Consider the following 15183-nt stretch of genomic DNA (forward strand, 5'->3'; position numbering starts at 1 on the left):
TTATTGATTGATTTTTTAAGATTCCACCTTAGGGGCCTGTTGGGTAGCAAAGGGATTATGTTGTCCTTGACGTTAAGGGAATTAGCCAAACATAGACTTCCTGTTCATTCTTGATTTTTTTCCATGTCATATATGCCTACAAATATTTTTAAGTGACTTTTTATGTTAATGTTTTTTTTGTTGTTGTTTCCTTCTTGTTAACCCGATTATAAACTCCCATGGCAGCAACAGTGCCTTTTTTGTCCTCAGGTTTTTATGTGCTTAAGCAATGGCAGGTCTACATAATGATAGACTATATAATCAAAGAAAGGGAGTATTCACGTGACTTTAGAATTAGCATGTGTCTGCACAGAATATGCCTCTGGCTTTACCAGCAGTAGAAAATTTATAGAAGAGAAACAGAAATGCTTTGCTGTTAATGACGCCTAAATAAGAATAGGAGTAAAGGAGAGTATTACCTCCAACTCACCGGAGCTGCTTTCCCCCTTATAAGCAGTTCCTAAAGTGAATGAAAGCAGCTCTCCTTATGTGTCTGCCTACTTTATTCTTCGGTAAGTTTAGCAGTTTATCTAGCTATCCTTTATTTGAAATGATTGCCACATGCCTCCTCATATAAATGGCTGACTTCTGGATATATTCTGGTTCTGGAATGGGCAGATTTCTGACGTGGTTTAGTATATATATATAAACCCGGTGAGTTTCTGGCATGTAATTTCTCTGATCGTGGTTACATTGATATTTAAAGTAGGGTTTGACATAGTGTGTCACTTACTGTTGATAAATATCGTTTATTTTCTTCTTAGTTCATTTCATTGATGTGTTAGCTTAAAAGACATTTTCTTTGACAGAAAATGAAGTAATGAAATAATAGTGAAATCGTTCTGCTGTGTCTCTAATTTGTTGATATTTTCCATGTACTTGAAACATGTATGGTATACCTCTTCTTTTTCCTTCTCTGAACCATGGCTAGAAAAAAAGCCCTACTTGTTTCTCTCGTTTACTGTGAGGCATTAGTGATTCTGGGTGTATTCATGTATGCTGCTACCTGTATGTTTTCAAACAATAAGAATTTGTTGAAACATGTCAGACATTATACTTTTTATTCTCCAGTATTGGAATATAGACTGCAATTAGTTTTTTGGAATGAAATACAGACAAAGCCATAACATCTATAGAACTACATATTACCCTACAATATTGTCTGATACAAAACAGTCTGGAAATATTCTTACAGCGAAATTGCAAATGTATTGATTTACCTTACATTGCAATCTGTCTTAGTGGAACCTTATCACCAGTGTAAGACATAATTTCTGGGTGTGAATAAGTACACAGTATAAGGTAAATTTTGGTGAAGTAGTCAGTTCTTTGTCATTTGTTCCCCCTTCACACCCAAAGTGTAGCACTTGACATAGAATCTTTCTTTCCTCATAAAGTCATTCATTTGGAATTCTGCATTGTTGTATGTAGAAAAAGGATATTTTCCGTTTTGTAATATTTTTCTTATATTGGGAATTATATTTCTTTCTAATTTTAAAATGTGGTTTACCATATTCATTTTTTCTGCAACCTTTTCAGGCATTTCCTGCTTATCCAAATTCACCAGTTCAGGTCACCACTGGATATCAGTTGCCTGTATACAATTATCAGGTAATGTAAGAGGTAGTAAAATGGTTTGCTTTCAGGTATTATTGAGGCCTTTAACTTGTTTATAGAAATTTCCTGAATAGTTGGTCATTTTTAACTAGTGAAGTGTCCCTAAAATTTAAGGAAAGACTTAGTGTAGAATGAAGACCTCTGTCTTATTTAGAAGTAATGAAGTAATATTTTTACAGGAATATCCTTGGCAATAACATTTGTGTAGAAGAGATTTCTGAGATTTGGTGTCCCCTTCTTCATTTGTGGATATAGTTTTCATCTTTGCTGTCAAATAGCTGAATGAAACATCCAAACTGACTTTCATGAATTTTTTTAGGGAGATAGAGTGAAATAAAATTATGATCCACTTTTCAGAGCACAGAATTCCAATTATATTTTCATTTTAGCTGGCTGTTTGACGGTAGTCATTCTCAGGATCTCTTCTCATAGATACAAGTATATCTATGACCCATAACTATATCTATGGTAATAAACTGAAAGAGCTAGTATTTTTGAGGTTTCCACATTGCCAACTCCCAAAAATTTGGAGAAAGGTGAAGATTCAAATTTAAAGTAACAAGAATGTCATGGACAAGAAACATAAAGTACTTAAGTTTTCCTTTCTGTTACTTTTATTATAATAAAAAAGGAGACAGCGGAATAAGTACTTCAATACTGTGTTTCTCATGTGTGTTTGAAAATATGTAGGAATAGTTTAATAGTTTTGGTTTCCTTTTTTTTTTTTTTTTTTTAAAGATGCCACCTTAGGGGCCTGTTGGGGAGCAAAGGGATTATGTTGTCCTTGACGTTAAGGGAATTAGCCAAACATAGACTTCCTGTTCATTCTTGATTTTTTTTCCATGTCATATATGCCTATAAATATTTTTAAGTGACTCTCTATATTAATGTTTGTTGTTGTTGTTGTTACTTTCTTGTTAACCCGAGTATAAACTCCCATGGCAGCAACAGTGCCTTTTTTGCCCTCAGGGTTTTATGTGCTTAAGCAATGGCAGCTCCACATAATGATAGACTATATAATCAAAGAAAGGTAATATTCACGTGACTTTAGAATTAGCATGTAGCTGCATAGAATCTGCCTCTGGCTTTACCAGCAGTAGTAAATTTATAGAAGAGAAACAGAAATGCTTTGCTGTTAATTATGCTTAAATAAGAATAGAAGTAAAGGAGAGTATTACCTGCAAATCACCAGAGCAGCTTTCCCCCGTATAAGCAGTTCCTAAAGTGAATGAAAGCAGCTCTCCTTATGTGTCTGCCTACTTTATTCTTCCGTAAGTTTAGCAATTCATCTAGCTATCCTTTATTTGAAATGATTTCCAGATGCCTCCTCATATAAATTGCTGACTTCTGGATATATTCTGGTTCTGGAATGGGTAGATTTCTGATGTGATTTAGTATATATATATAAACCGCTTGAGTTTCTGGCATCTAATTTCTCTGATCCTGGTGACATTGATATTTAAAGTAGGGTTTGACATACTCTATCACTTACTGTTGATAAATAACGTTTATATTCTTCTTAGTTCATTTCATTGATGTGTTAGCTTAAAAGACATTTTCTTTGATGGAAAATGTAGTAACAAAATAATAGTGAAATAGTTCTGCAGTGTTTCTAATTTGTTGATATTTTCCATGTACTTGAAACATGTATGGTATACCTCTTCTTTTTCCTTCTCTGAACCATGGCTAGAAAAAAAGCCCTACTTGTTTCTCTCGTTTACTGTGAGGCATTAGTGATTCTGGGTGTATTCATGTATGCTGCTACCTGTATGTTTTCAAACAATAAGAATTTGTTGAAACATGTCAGACATTATACTTTTTATTCTCCAGTATTGGAATATAGACTGCAATTAGTTTTTTGGAATGAAATACAGACAAAGCCATAACATCTATAGAACTACATATTACCCTACAATATTGTCTGATACAAAACAGTCTGGAAATATTCTTACAGCGAAATTGCAAATGTATTGATTTACCTTACATTGCAATCTGTCTTAGTGGAACCTTATCACCAGTGTAAGACATAATTTCTGGGTGTGAATAAGTACACAGTATAAGGTAAACTTTGGTGAAGTAGTCAATTCTTTTTTTTTAAAAAATTATGCTTTAAGTTTTAGGGTCCATGTGCACATTGTGCAGGTTAGTTCCATATGTATACATGTGCCATGCTGGTGCTCTGCACCCTCTAACTCCTCATCTAGCATTAGGTATATCTCCCAGTGCTATCCCTCCCCCCTCCCCCCACCCCACAACAGTCCCCAGAGTGTGATATATCCCTTCCTGTGTCCATGTGATCTCATTGTTCAATTCCCACCTATGAGTGAGAATATGCGGTGTTTGGTTTTTTGTTCTTGCGATAGTTTACTGAGAATGATGATTTCCAATTTCATCCATGTCCCTACAAAGGACATGAAGTCATCATTTTTTATGGCGGCATAGTATTCCATGGTGTATATGTGCCACATTTTCTTAATCCAGTCTATCATTGTTGGACATTTGGGTTGGTTCCAAGTCTTTGCTATTGTGAATAATGCCGCAATAAACATACGTGTGCATGTGTCTTTATAGCAGCATGATTTATAGTCCTTTGTGTATACACCCAGTAATGGGATGGCTGGGTCAAATGCTATTTCCAGTTCTAGATCCCTGAGGAATCGCCACACTGACTTCCACAATGGTTGAACTAGTTTACAGTCCCGCCAACAGTGTAAAAGTGTTCCTGTTTCTCCACATCTTCTCCAGCACCTGTTGTCTCCTGACTTTTAAATGATTGCCATTCTAACTGGTGTGAGATGGTATCTCACTGTGGTTTTGATTTGCATTTCTCTGATGGCCAGTGATGATGAGCATTTTTTCATGTGTTTTTTGGCTGCATAAATGTCTTCTTTTGAGAAGTGTCTGTTCATGTCCTTCACCCACTTTTTGATGAGGTTGTTTGTTTTTTCTTGTAAATTTGTTTTAGCTCATTGTAGATTCTGGATATTAGCCCTTTGTCAGATGAGTAGGTTGTGAAAATTTTCTCCCATTTTGTAGGTTGCCTGTTCACTCTGATGGTAGTTTCTTTTTCTGTGCAGAAGCTCTTTAGTTTAATTAGATCCCATTTGTCAATTTTGTCTTTTATTGCCATTGCTTTTGGTGTTTTAGACGTGAAGTCCTCGCCTATGCCTATGTCCTGAATGGTAATGCCTAGGTTTTCTTCTAGGGTTTTTATGGTTTTACGTCTAACGTTTAAGTCTTTAATCCATCTTGAATTGATTTTTGTATAAGGTGTAAGGAAGGGATCCAGTTTCAGCTTTCTACATATGGCTAGCCAGTTTTCCCAGCACCATTTATTAAATAGGGAATCCTTTCCCCATTGCTTGTTTTTCTCAGGTTTGTCAAAGATCAGATAGTTGTAGATATGCGGCGTTATTTCTGAGGGCTCTGTTCTGTTCCATTGATCTATATCTCTGTTTTGGTACCAGTACCATGCTGTTTTGGTTACTGTAGCCTTGTAGTATAGTTTGAAGTCAGGTAGTGTGATGCCTCCAGCTTTGTTCTTTTGGCTTAGGATTGACTTGGCAATGCGGGCTCTTTTTTGGTTCCATGTGAACTTTAAAGTAGTTTTTTCCAATTCTGTGAAGAAAGGCATTGGTAGCTTGATGGGGATGGCATTGAATCTGTAAATTACCTTGGGCAGTATGGCCATTTTCACGATATTGATTCTTCCTACTCATGAGCATGGAATGTTCTTCCATTTGTTTGTATCCTCTTTTATTTCCTTGAGCAGTGGTTTGTAGTTCTCCTTGAAGAGGTCCTTCACATCCCTTGTAAGTTGATTTCCTAGGCATTTTATTCCCTTTGAAGCAATTGTGAATGGGAGTTCACTCATGATTGGGCTCTCTGTTTGTCTGTTGTTGGTGTATAAGAAAGCTTGTGATTTTTGTACATTGATTTTGTATCCTGAGACTTTGCTGAAGTTGCTTATCAGCTTAAGGAGATTTTGGGCTGAGACAATGGGGTTTTCTAGATATATAATCATGTTGTCTGCAAACAGGGACAATTTGACTTCCTCCTTTCCTAATTGAATACCCTTTATTTCCTTCTCCTGCCTAATTGCCCTGGCCAGAACTTCCAACACTATGTTGAATAGGAGTGGTGAGAGAGGGCATCCCTCTCTTGTGCCAGTTTTCAAAGGGAATGCTTCCAGTTTTTGCCCATTCAGTATGATATTGGCTGTGGGTTTGTCATAGATAGCTCTTACTATTTTGAAATACGTCCCATCAATACCTAATTTATTGAGAGTTTTTAGCATGAAGGGTTGTTGAATTTTGTCAAGGGCTTTTTCTGCATCTATTGAGATAATCATGTGTTTTTTGTCTTTGGTTCTGTTTATATGCTGGATTACATTTATTGATTTGCGTATATTGAACCAGCCTTGCATCCCAGCGATGAAGCCCACTTGATCATGGTGGATAAGCTTTTTGATGTGCCGCTGGATTCGTTTTGCCAGTATTTTATTGAGGATTTTTGCATCAATGTTCATCAAGGATATTGGTCTAAAATTCTCTTTTTTGGTTGTGTCTCTGCCTGGCTTTGGTATCAGAATGATGCTGGCCTCATAAAATGAGTTAGGGAGGATTCTGTCTTTTTCTGTTGATTGGAATAGTTTCAGAAGGAATGGTACCAGTTCCTCCTTGTACCTCTGGTAGAATTCGGCTGTGAATCCATCTGGTCCTGGACTCTTTTTGGTTGGTGAGCTATTGATTATTGCCACAATTTCAGCTCCTGTTATTGGTCTATTCAGAGATTCAACTTCTTCCTGGTTTAGTCTTGGGAGAGTGTATGTGTCGAGGAGTTTATCCATTTCTTCTAGATTTTCTAGTTTATTTGCGTAGAGGTGTTTGTAGTATTCTCTGATGGTAGTTTGTATTTCTGTGTGATCAGTGGCGATATCCCCTTTATCATTTTTTATTGCGTCTATTGGATTCTTCTCTCTTTTTTTCTTTATTAGTCTTGCTAGCGGTCTGTCACTTTTGTTGATCCTTTCAAAAAACCAGCTCCTGGATTCATTAATTTTTTGAAGGGTTTTTTGTGTCTCTATTTCCTTCAGTTCTGCTCTGATCTTAGTTATTTCTTGCCTTCTGCTAGCTTTTGACTGTGTTTGCTCTTGCTTTTCTAGTTCTTTTAATTGTGATGTTACGGTGTCAATTTTGGATCTTTCCTGCTTTCTCTTGTGGGCATTTAGTGCTATAAATTTCCCTCTACACACTGCTTTGAATGCATCCCAGAGATTCCGGTATGTTGTGTCTTTGTTCTCGTTGGTTTCAAAGAACATCTTTATTTCTGCCTTCATTTTGTTATGTACCCAGTAGTCATTCAGGAGCAGGTTGTTCAGTTTCCATGTAGTTGAGTGGTTTTGAGTGAGATTCTTAATCCTGAGTTCTAGTTTGATTGCACTGTGGTCTGAGAGATAGTTTGTTATAATTTCTGTTCTTTTACATCTGCTGAGGAGAGCTTTACTTCCCAGTATGTGGTCAGTTTTGGAATAGGTGTGGTGTGGTGCTGAAAAAAAATGTATATTCTGTTGATTTGGGGTGGAGAGTTCTGTAGATGTCTATTAGGTCCACTTGGTGCAGAGCTGAGTTCAATTCCTGGGTATCCTTGTTGACTTTCTGTCTCGTTGATCTGTCTAATGTTGACAGTGGGGTGTTAAAGTCTCCCATTATTAATGTGTGGGAGTCTAAGTCTCTTTGTAGGTCACTCAGGACTTGCTTTATGAATCTTGGTGCTCCTGTATTGGGTGCATATATATTTAGGATAGTTAGCTCTTCTTGTTGAATTGATCCCTTTACCATTATGTAATGGCCTTCTTTGTCTCTTTTGATCTTTGTTGGTTTAAAGTCTGTTTTATCAGAGACTAGGATTGCAACCCCTGCCTTTTTTTGTTTTCCATTTGCTTGGTAGATCTTCCTGCATCCTTTTATTTTGAGCCTATGTGTGTCTCTGCACGTGAGATGGGTTTCCTGAATACAGCACACTGATGGGTCTTGACTCTTTATCCAGTTTGCCAGTCTGTGTCTTTTAATTGGAGCATTTAGTCCATTGACATTTAAAGTTAATATTGTTATGTATGAATTTGATCCTGTCATTATGATGTTAGCTGGTTATTTTGCTTGTTAGTTGATGCAGTTTCTTCCTAGTCTCGATGGTCTTTACATTTTGGCATGATTTTGCAGCGGCTGGTACCGGTTGTTCCTTTCCATGTTTAGTGCTTCCTTCAGGAGCTCTTATAAGGCAGGCTTGGTGGTGACAAAATCTCTCAGCATTTGCTTGTCTGTAAAGTATTTTATTTCTCCTTCGCTTATGAAGCTTAGTTTGGCTGGATATGAAATTCTGGGTTGAAAATTATTTTCTTTAAGAATGTTGAATATTGGCCCCCACTCTCTTCTGGCTTGTAGGGTTTCTGCCGAGAGATCCACTGTTAGTCTGATGGGCTTCCCTTTGAGGGTAACCCGACCTTTCTCTCTGGCTGCCCTTAACATTTTTTCCTTCATTTCAACTTTGGTGAATCTGACAATTATGTGTCTTGGAGTTGCTCTTCTCGAGGAGTATCTTTGTGGCGTTCTCTGTATTTCCTGAATCTGAACGTTGGCCTGCCTTGCTAGATTGGGGAAGTTCTCCTGGATAATATCCTGCAGAGTGTTTTCCAGCTTGGTTCCATTCTCCCGATCACTTTCAGGTACACCAAGCAGACGTAGATTTGGTCTTTTCACATAGTCCCATATTTCTTGGAGGCTTTGCTCATTTCGTTTTATTCTTTTTTCTCCAAACTTCCCTTCTCACTTCATTTCATTCATTTCATCTTCCATTGCTGATACCCTTTCTTCCAGTTGATCGCATCAGCTCCTGAGGCTTCTGCATTCTTCACGTAGTTCTTGAGCCTTGGTTTTCAGCTCCATCAGCTCCTTTAAGCACTTCTCTGTATTGGTTATTCTAGTTATACATTCTTCTACATTTTTTTTTCCCAAAGTTTTCAACTTCTTTGCCTTTGGTTTGAATGTCCTCCCGTAGCTCAGAGTAATTTGATCGTCTGAAGCCTTCTTCTCTCAGCTCGTCAAAGTCATTCTCCATCCAGCTTTGTTCCGTTGCTGGTGAGGAACTGCGTTCCTTTGGAGGAGGAGAGGTGCTCTGCTTTTTAGAGTTTCCAGTTTTTCTGTTCTGTTTTTTCCCCCTCTTTGTGGTTTTATCTACTTTTGGTCTTTGATGATGGTGATGTACAGATGGGTTTTTGGTGTGGATGTCCTTTCTGTTTGTTAGTTTTCCTTCTAACTGAGAGGACCCTCAGCTGCAGGTCTGTTGGAATACCCTGCCGTGTGAGGTGTCAGTGTGCCCCTGCTGGGGGGTGCCTCCCAGTTAGGCTGCTCGGGGGGTCAGGGGTCAGGGACCCACTTGACGAGGCAGTCTGCCCGTTCTCAGATCTCCAGCTGCGTGCTGGGAGAACCACTGCTCTCTTCAAAGCTGTCAGACAGGGTCATTTAAGTCTGCAGAGGTTACTGCTGTCTTTTTGTTTGTCTGTGCCCTGCCCCTAGAGGTGGAGCCTACAGAGGCAGGCAGGCCTCCTTGAGCTGTGGTGGGCTCCACCCAGTTGGAGCTTCCCTGCGGCTTTGTTTACCTAATCAAGCCTGGGCAATGGCGGGCGCCCCTCCCCCAGCCTCGTTGCCGCCTTGCAGTTTGATCTCAGACTGCTGTGCTAGCAATCAGTGAGACTGCGTGGGCGTAGGACCCTCCGAGCCAGGTGCGGGATATAATCTAGTGGTGTGCCGTTTTTTAAGCCCGTCGGAAAAGCGCAGTATTCGGGTGGGAGTGACCCGATTCTCCAGGTGGCATCCGTCACCCCTTTCTTTGACTCAGAAGGGAACTCCCTGACCGCTTGCGCGTCCCAAGTGAGGCAATGCCTCGCCCTGCTTCCGCTCGCACGCGGTGAGCCCACCCACTGACCTGCGCCCACTGTCTGGCACTCCCTAGTGAGATGAACCCGGTACCTCAGATGGAAATGCAGAAATCACCCGTCTTCGGCGTCGCTCACGCTGGGAGCTGTAGACTGGAGCTGTTCCTATTCGGCCATCTTGGCTCCTCCCCCACCCCCCTTTTTTTTTCAAGATGCCACCATAGGGGCCTGTTGGGGAGCAAAGGGATTATGTTTTCCTTGATGTTAAGTGAATTAGCCAAACATAGACTTCCTGTTCATTCTTGGTTTTTTTCCACGTCGTATATGCCTATTACTATTTTTAAGTGATTTTTATATCAATGTTTTAGTTTACTTTTTTACTTTCTTGTTAACCCGATTATAAACTCCCATGGGAGCAACAGTGCCTTTTTTGCCCTGAGGTTTTTATTTGCTTAAGCAATGGCAGGTCCACTTAATGATAGACCATATCATCAAAGAAAGGTAGTATTCATGTGGCTTTTGAATTAGCATGCATCTGCGTAGATTCTGCCTCTGGCTTTACCAGCAACAGAAAATTTGTAGAACAGAGACAGAAATGCTTTGCTGTTAATTGCGCTTAAATAAGAATAGGAGTAAACGAGAGTATTACCTCCAAAGCACCAGAGCTGCTTTCCTCCTTATAACCAGTTCCTAAAGTGAATGAAAGCAGCTCTCCTTATGTGTCTGCCTACTTCATTCTTCGGTAAGTTTAACAGTTCATCTAGCTACCCTTTATTTGAAATGATTTCCAGATGCCTCCTCATATAAATTGCTGACTTCTGGATATATTCTGGTTCGGGAATGGGTAGATTTCTGATGTGGTTTAGTAGGTATATAAATCCCGTGAGCTTCTTGCATCTAATTTCTCTGATCCTGCTTACACTGATATTTAAAGTAGGTTTTGACATACTCCATCACTTAATGTTGATAAAGGATGTTTATATTCTTCTTAGTTCGTTTTATTTATGTGTTAGCTTTAAAGACATTTTCTTTGACGGAAAGTGAAGTAACAAAATAATAGTCGAATAGTTCTGCCGTGTCTCTAATTTGTTGATATTTTCCATGTACTTGAAACATGTATGGTACACCTCTTCTTTTTCCTTCTCTGAACAATGGCTAGAAAAAAAACCCTACTTCTTTCTGTCATTTACTGTGAGGCATTACTGAATCTGGGTGTATTCATGTATGCTGCTACCTGTATGTTTTCAAACAATAAGAATTTATTGAAACATATAAGACATTATACTTTCTCTTCTCCAGTATTGGATTATAGACTGCACTTAGTTTTCCGGAATGAAGTACAGACAAAGCCATAACGCATGTACAACTACACATTGTCCTATAATATTGTCTGATAAAAAACAGTGTAGAAATATTCTGACAGGGAAATAGCAAATGTATTAATTTAACTTACCTTGCAATCTCTGTTAATGGAGCCTTATCACCAGTGTAAGAAATAACGTCTGGGTGTGAATACGTACACAGTATAAGGTAAACTTTGGTGAAGTCGTCAATTCTTTTGTCATTTCTTCCCCCTTCACAGCCAAAGTGTAGCACTTGACATGGAATCTTTCTTTCTTCATAAATCAGTCATTCATTTGGAATTCTGCATTGTTGTATGTAGAAAAACGATATTTTCCCTTCTGTAATATTGTTGTTATATTGGGAATTATATTTCTTTGTAATTTTAAAAAGTGGTTTACCATATTCATTTTTTTCTGCCAACCTTTCTTTTCAGGCATTTCCTGCTTATCCAAGTTCACCATTTCAGGTCACCACTGGATATCAGTTGCCTGTATATAATTATCAGGTAATGTAAGAAGGAGTAAAATTATTTGCTTTCAGGTATTATTGAGGCCTTTAACTTGTTTATACAAATTTCCGGAATAGTTGGTCATTTTAAACTAGTGAAGTGTACCTAAAATTTAAGGAAACACTTAGAATTAGTGTAGAATGAAGACCTCTGTCTTATTGAGAAGTAATGAAGTCGAATTTTGACAGGAATATACTTGGGAATAACTTTCCTGTAGAACAGATTTCTGAGATTTGGTGTCCCATTCTTCATTTCTGGATGTAGTTTTCATCTTTACTGTCAAATAACTGAATGAAACATCCAAACTGACTTTCATGAATTTTCTTAGGGAGATAGAGTGAAATAAAATTATGACCCACTTTGCAGAGCACAGAATTCCAACTATATTTTCATTTTAGCTGGCTGTTTCACGATAGCAATTCTCTGGGTCTCTTTTCACAGATACAAGTATAACTATGCCCAATAATTATATCTATGGTAATAAACTGAAAGAGCTAGTATCTTTGAGGTTTCCACATTGCCAACTCCCGAAAATGTGGAGAAGGGTGAAGTTTCTAATATAAAAGTAAGAAGAATGTCATGGAGTAGAAACATAAAGTACTCAAGTTTTCCTTTCTGTTACTTGTATTATAATAAAAAAGGAGACAGCAGGATAAGTGCTTCAATATTGTGTTTCTCATGTGTTTTTGAAAATGTGTAGGAATATTTTAATAGTTTTGGTTTCCTTTCTTTTTTTTTTTTTAAGATGCCACCATAGGGGCCTGTTGGGGAGCAAAGGGATTATGTTTTCCTTGATGTTAAGTGAATTAGCCAAACATAGACTTCCTGTTCATTCTTGGTTTTTTTCCACGTCGTATATGCCTATTACTATTTTTAAGTGATTTTTATATCAATGTTTTAGTTTATTTTTTTACTTTCTTGTTAACCCGATTATAAACTCCCATGGGAGCAACAGTGCCTTTTTTGCCCTGAGGTTTTTATTTGCTTAAGCAATGGCAGGTCCACTTAATGATAGACCATATCATCAAAGAAAGGTAGTATTCATGTGGCTTTTGAATTAGCATGCATCTGCGTAGATTCTGCCTCTGGCTTTACCAGCAACAGAAAATTTGTAGAACAGAGACAGAAATGCTTTGCTGTTAATTGCGCTTAAATAAGAATAGGAGTAAACGAGAGTATTACCTCCAAAGCACCAGAGCTGCTTTCCTCCTTATAACCAGTTCCTAAAGTGAATGAAAGCAGCTCTCCTTATGTGTCTGCCTACTTCATTCTTCGGTAAGTTTAACAGTTCATCTAGCTACCCTTTATTTGAAATGATTTCCAGATGCCTCCTCATATAAATTGCTGACTTCTGGATATATTCTGGTTCGGGAATGGGTAGATTTCTGATGTGGTTTAGTAGGTATATAAATCCCGTGAGCTTCTTGCATCTAATTTCTCTGATCCTGCTTACACTGATATTTAAAGTAGGTTTTGACATACTCCATCACTTAATGTTGATAAAGGACGTTTATATTCTTCTTAGTTCGTTTTATTTATGTGTTAGCTTTAAAGACATTTTCTTTGACGGAAAGTGAAGTAACAAAATAATAGTCGAATAGTTCTGCCGTGTCTCTAATTTGTTGATATTTTCCATGTACTTGAAACATGTATGGTACACCTCTTCTTTTTCCTTCTCTGAACAATGGCTAGAAAAAAAACCCTACTTCTTTCTGTCATTTACTGTGAGGCATTACTGAATCTGGGTGTATTCATGTATGCTGCTACCTGTATGTTTTCAAACAATAAGAATTCATTGAAACATATAAGACATTATACTTTCTCTTCTCCAGTATTGGATTATAGACTGCACTTAGTTTTCCGGAATGAAGTACAGACAAAGCCATAACGCGTGTACAACTACACATTGTCCTATAATATTGTCTGATAAAAAACAGTGTAGAAATATTCTGACAGGGAAATAGCAAATGTATTAATTTAACTTACCTTGCAATCTCTGTTAATGGAGCCTTATCACCAGTGTAAGAAATAACGTCTGGGTGTGAATACGTACACAGTATAAGGTAAACTTTGGTGAAGTCGTCAATTCTTTTGTCATTTCTTCCCCCTTCACAGCCAAAGTGTAGCACTTGACATGGAATCTTTCTTTCTTCATAAATCAGTCATTCATTTGGAATTCTGCATTGTTGTATGTAGAAAAACGATATTTTCCCTTCTGTAATATTGTTGTTATATTGGGAATTATATTTCTTTGTAATTTTAAAAAGTGGTTTACCATATTCATTTTTTTCTGCCAACCTTTCTTTTCAGGCATTTCCTGCTTATCCAAGTTCACCATTTCAGGTCACCACTGGATATCAGTTGCCTGTATATAATTATCAGGTAATGTAAGAAGGAGTAAAATTATTTGCTTTCAGGTATTATTGAGGCCTTTAACTTGTTTATACAAATTTCCGGAATAGTTGGTCATTTTAAACTAGTGAAGTGTACCTAAAATTTAAGGAAACACTTAGAATTAGTGTAGAATGAAGACCTCTGTCTTATTGAGAAGTAATGAAGTCGAATTTTGACAGGAATATACTTGGGAATAACTTTCCTGTAGAACAGATTTCTGAGATTTGGTGTCCCATTCTTCATTTCTGGATGTAGTTTTCATCTTTACTGTCAAATAACTGAATGAAACATCCAAACTGACTTTCATGAATTTTCTTAGGGAGATAGAGTGAAATAAAATTATGACCCACTTTTCAGAGCACAGAATTCCAACTATATTTTCATTTTAGCTGGCTGTTTCACGATAGCAATTCTCTGGGTCTCTTTTCACAGATACAAGTACATCTATGCCCAATAATTATATCTATGGTAATAAACTGAAAGAGCTAGTATCTTTGAGGTTTCCACATTGCCAACTCCCGAAAATGTGGAGAAGGGTGAAGTTTCTAATATAAAAGTAAGAAGAATGTCATGGAGTAGAAACATAAAGTACTCAAGTTTTCCTTTCTGTTACTTGTATTATAATAAAAAAGGAGACAGCAGGATAAGTGCTTCAATATTGTGTTTCTCATGTGTTTTTGAAAATGTGTAGGAATATTTTAATAGTTTTGGTTTCCTTTTTTTTTTTTTTTTTAAGATGCCACCATAGGGGCCTGTTGGGGAGCAAAGGGATTATGTTTTCCTTGATGTTAAGTGAATTAGCCAAACATAGACTTCCTGTTCATTCTTGGTTTTTTTCCACGTCGTATATGCCTATTACTATTTTTAAGTGATTTTTATATCAATGTTTTAGTTTATTTTTTTACTTTCTTGTTAACCCGATTATAAACTCCCATGGGAGCAACAGTGCCTTTTTTGCCCTGAGGTTTTTATTTGCTTAAGCAATGGCAGGTCCACTTAATGATAGACCATATCATCAAAGAAAGGTAGTATTCATGTGGCTTTTGAATTAGCATGCATCTGCGTAGATTCTGCCTCTGGCTTTACCAGCAACAGAAAATTTGTAGAACAGAGACAGAAATGCTTTGCTGTTAATTGCGCTTAAATAAGAATAGGAGTAAACGAGAGTATTACCTCCAAAGCACCAGAGCTGCTTTCCTCCTTATAACCAGTTCCTAAAGTGAATGAAAGCAGCTCTCCTTATGTGTCTGCCTACTTCATTCTTCGGTAAGTTTAACAGTTCATCTAGCTACCCTTTATTTGAAATGATTTCCAGATGCCTCCTCATATAAATTGCTGACTTCTGGAT

At 37.6% G+C, this 15183-nt stretch overlaps 1 protein-coding gene across 3 annotated transcripts in view; it reads left to right on the top strand.

Annotated features, from left to right (window-relative positions):
* DAZ4 (deleted in azoospermia 4) overlaps positions 1 to 15183 on the top strand; it is a 73221-nt gene that overhangs the window by 38578 nt on the left and 19460 nt on the right. Inside the window, exons 20-22 of one of the 3 annotated variants that reach the window (NM_001388484.1) lie at positions 1579 to 1650; positions 11367 to 11438; positions 13752 to 13823. The exons of 1 other annotated variant lie outside the window; for it this stretch is intronic. In NM_001388484.1, coding sequence (NP_001375413.1) covers positions 1579 to 1650; positions 11367 to 11438; positions 13752 to 13823 — 216 coding nt within the window. The remainder of the gene's footprint in view (positions 1 to 1578; positions 1651 to 11366; positions 11439 to 13751; positions 13824 to 15183) is intronic. One more of the 3 variants, NM_001005375.3, reaches the window with a different exon arrangement.

The sequence above is a fragment of the Homo sapiens genome, chromosome Y (genome assembly GCF_000001405.40).
Source record: "Homo sapiens chromosome Y, GRCh38.p14 Primary Assembly".
Taxonomy (NCBI): domain Eukaryota; kingdom Metazoa; phylum Chordata; class Mammalia; order Primates; family Hominidae; genus Homo; species Homo sapiens.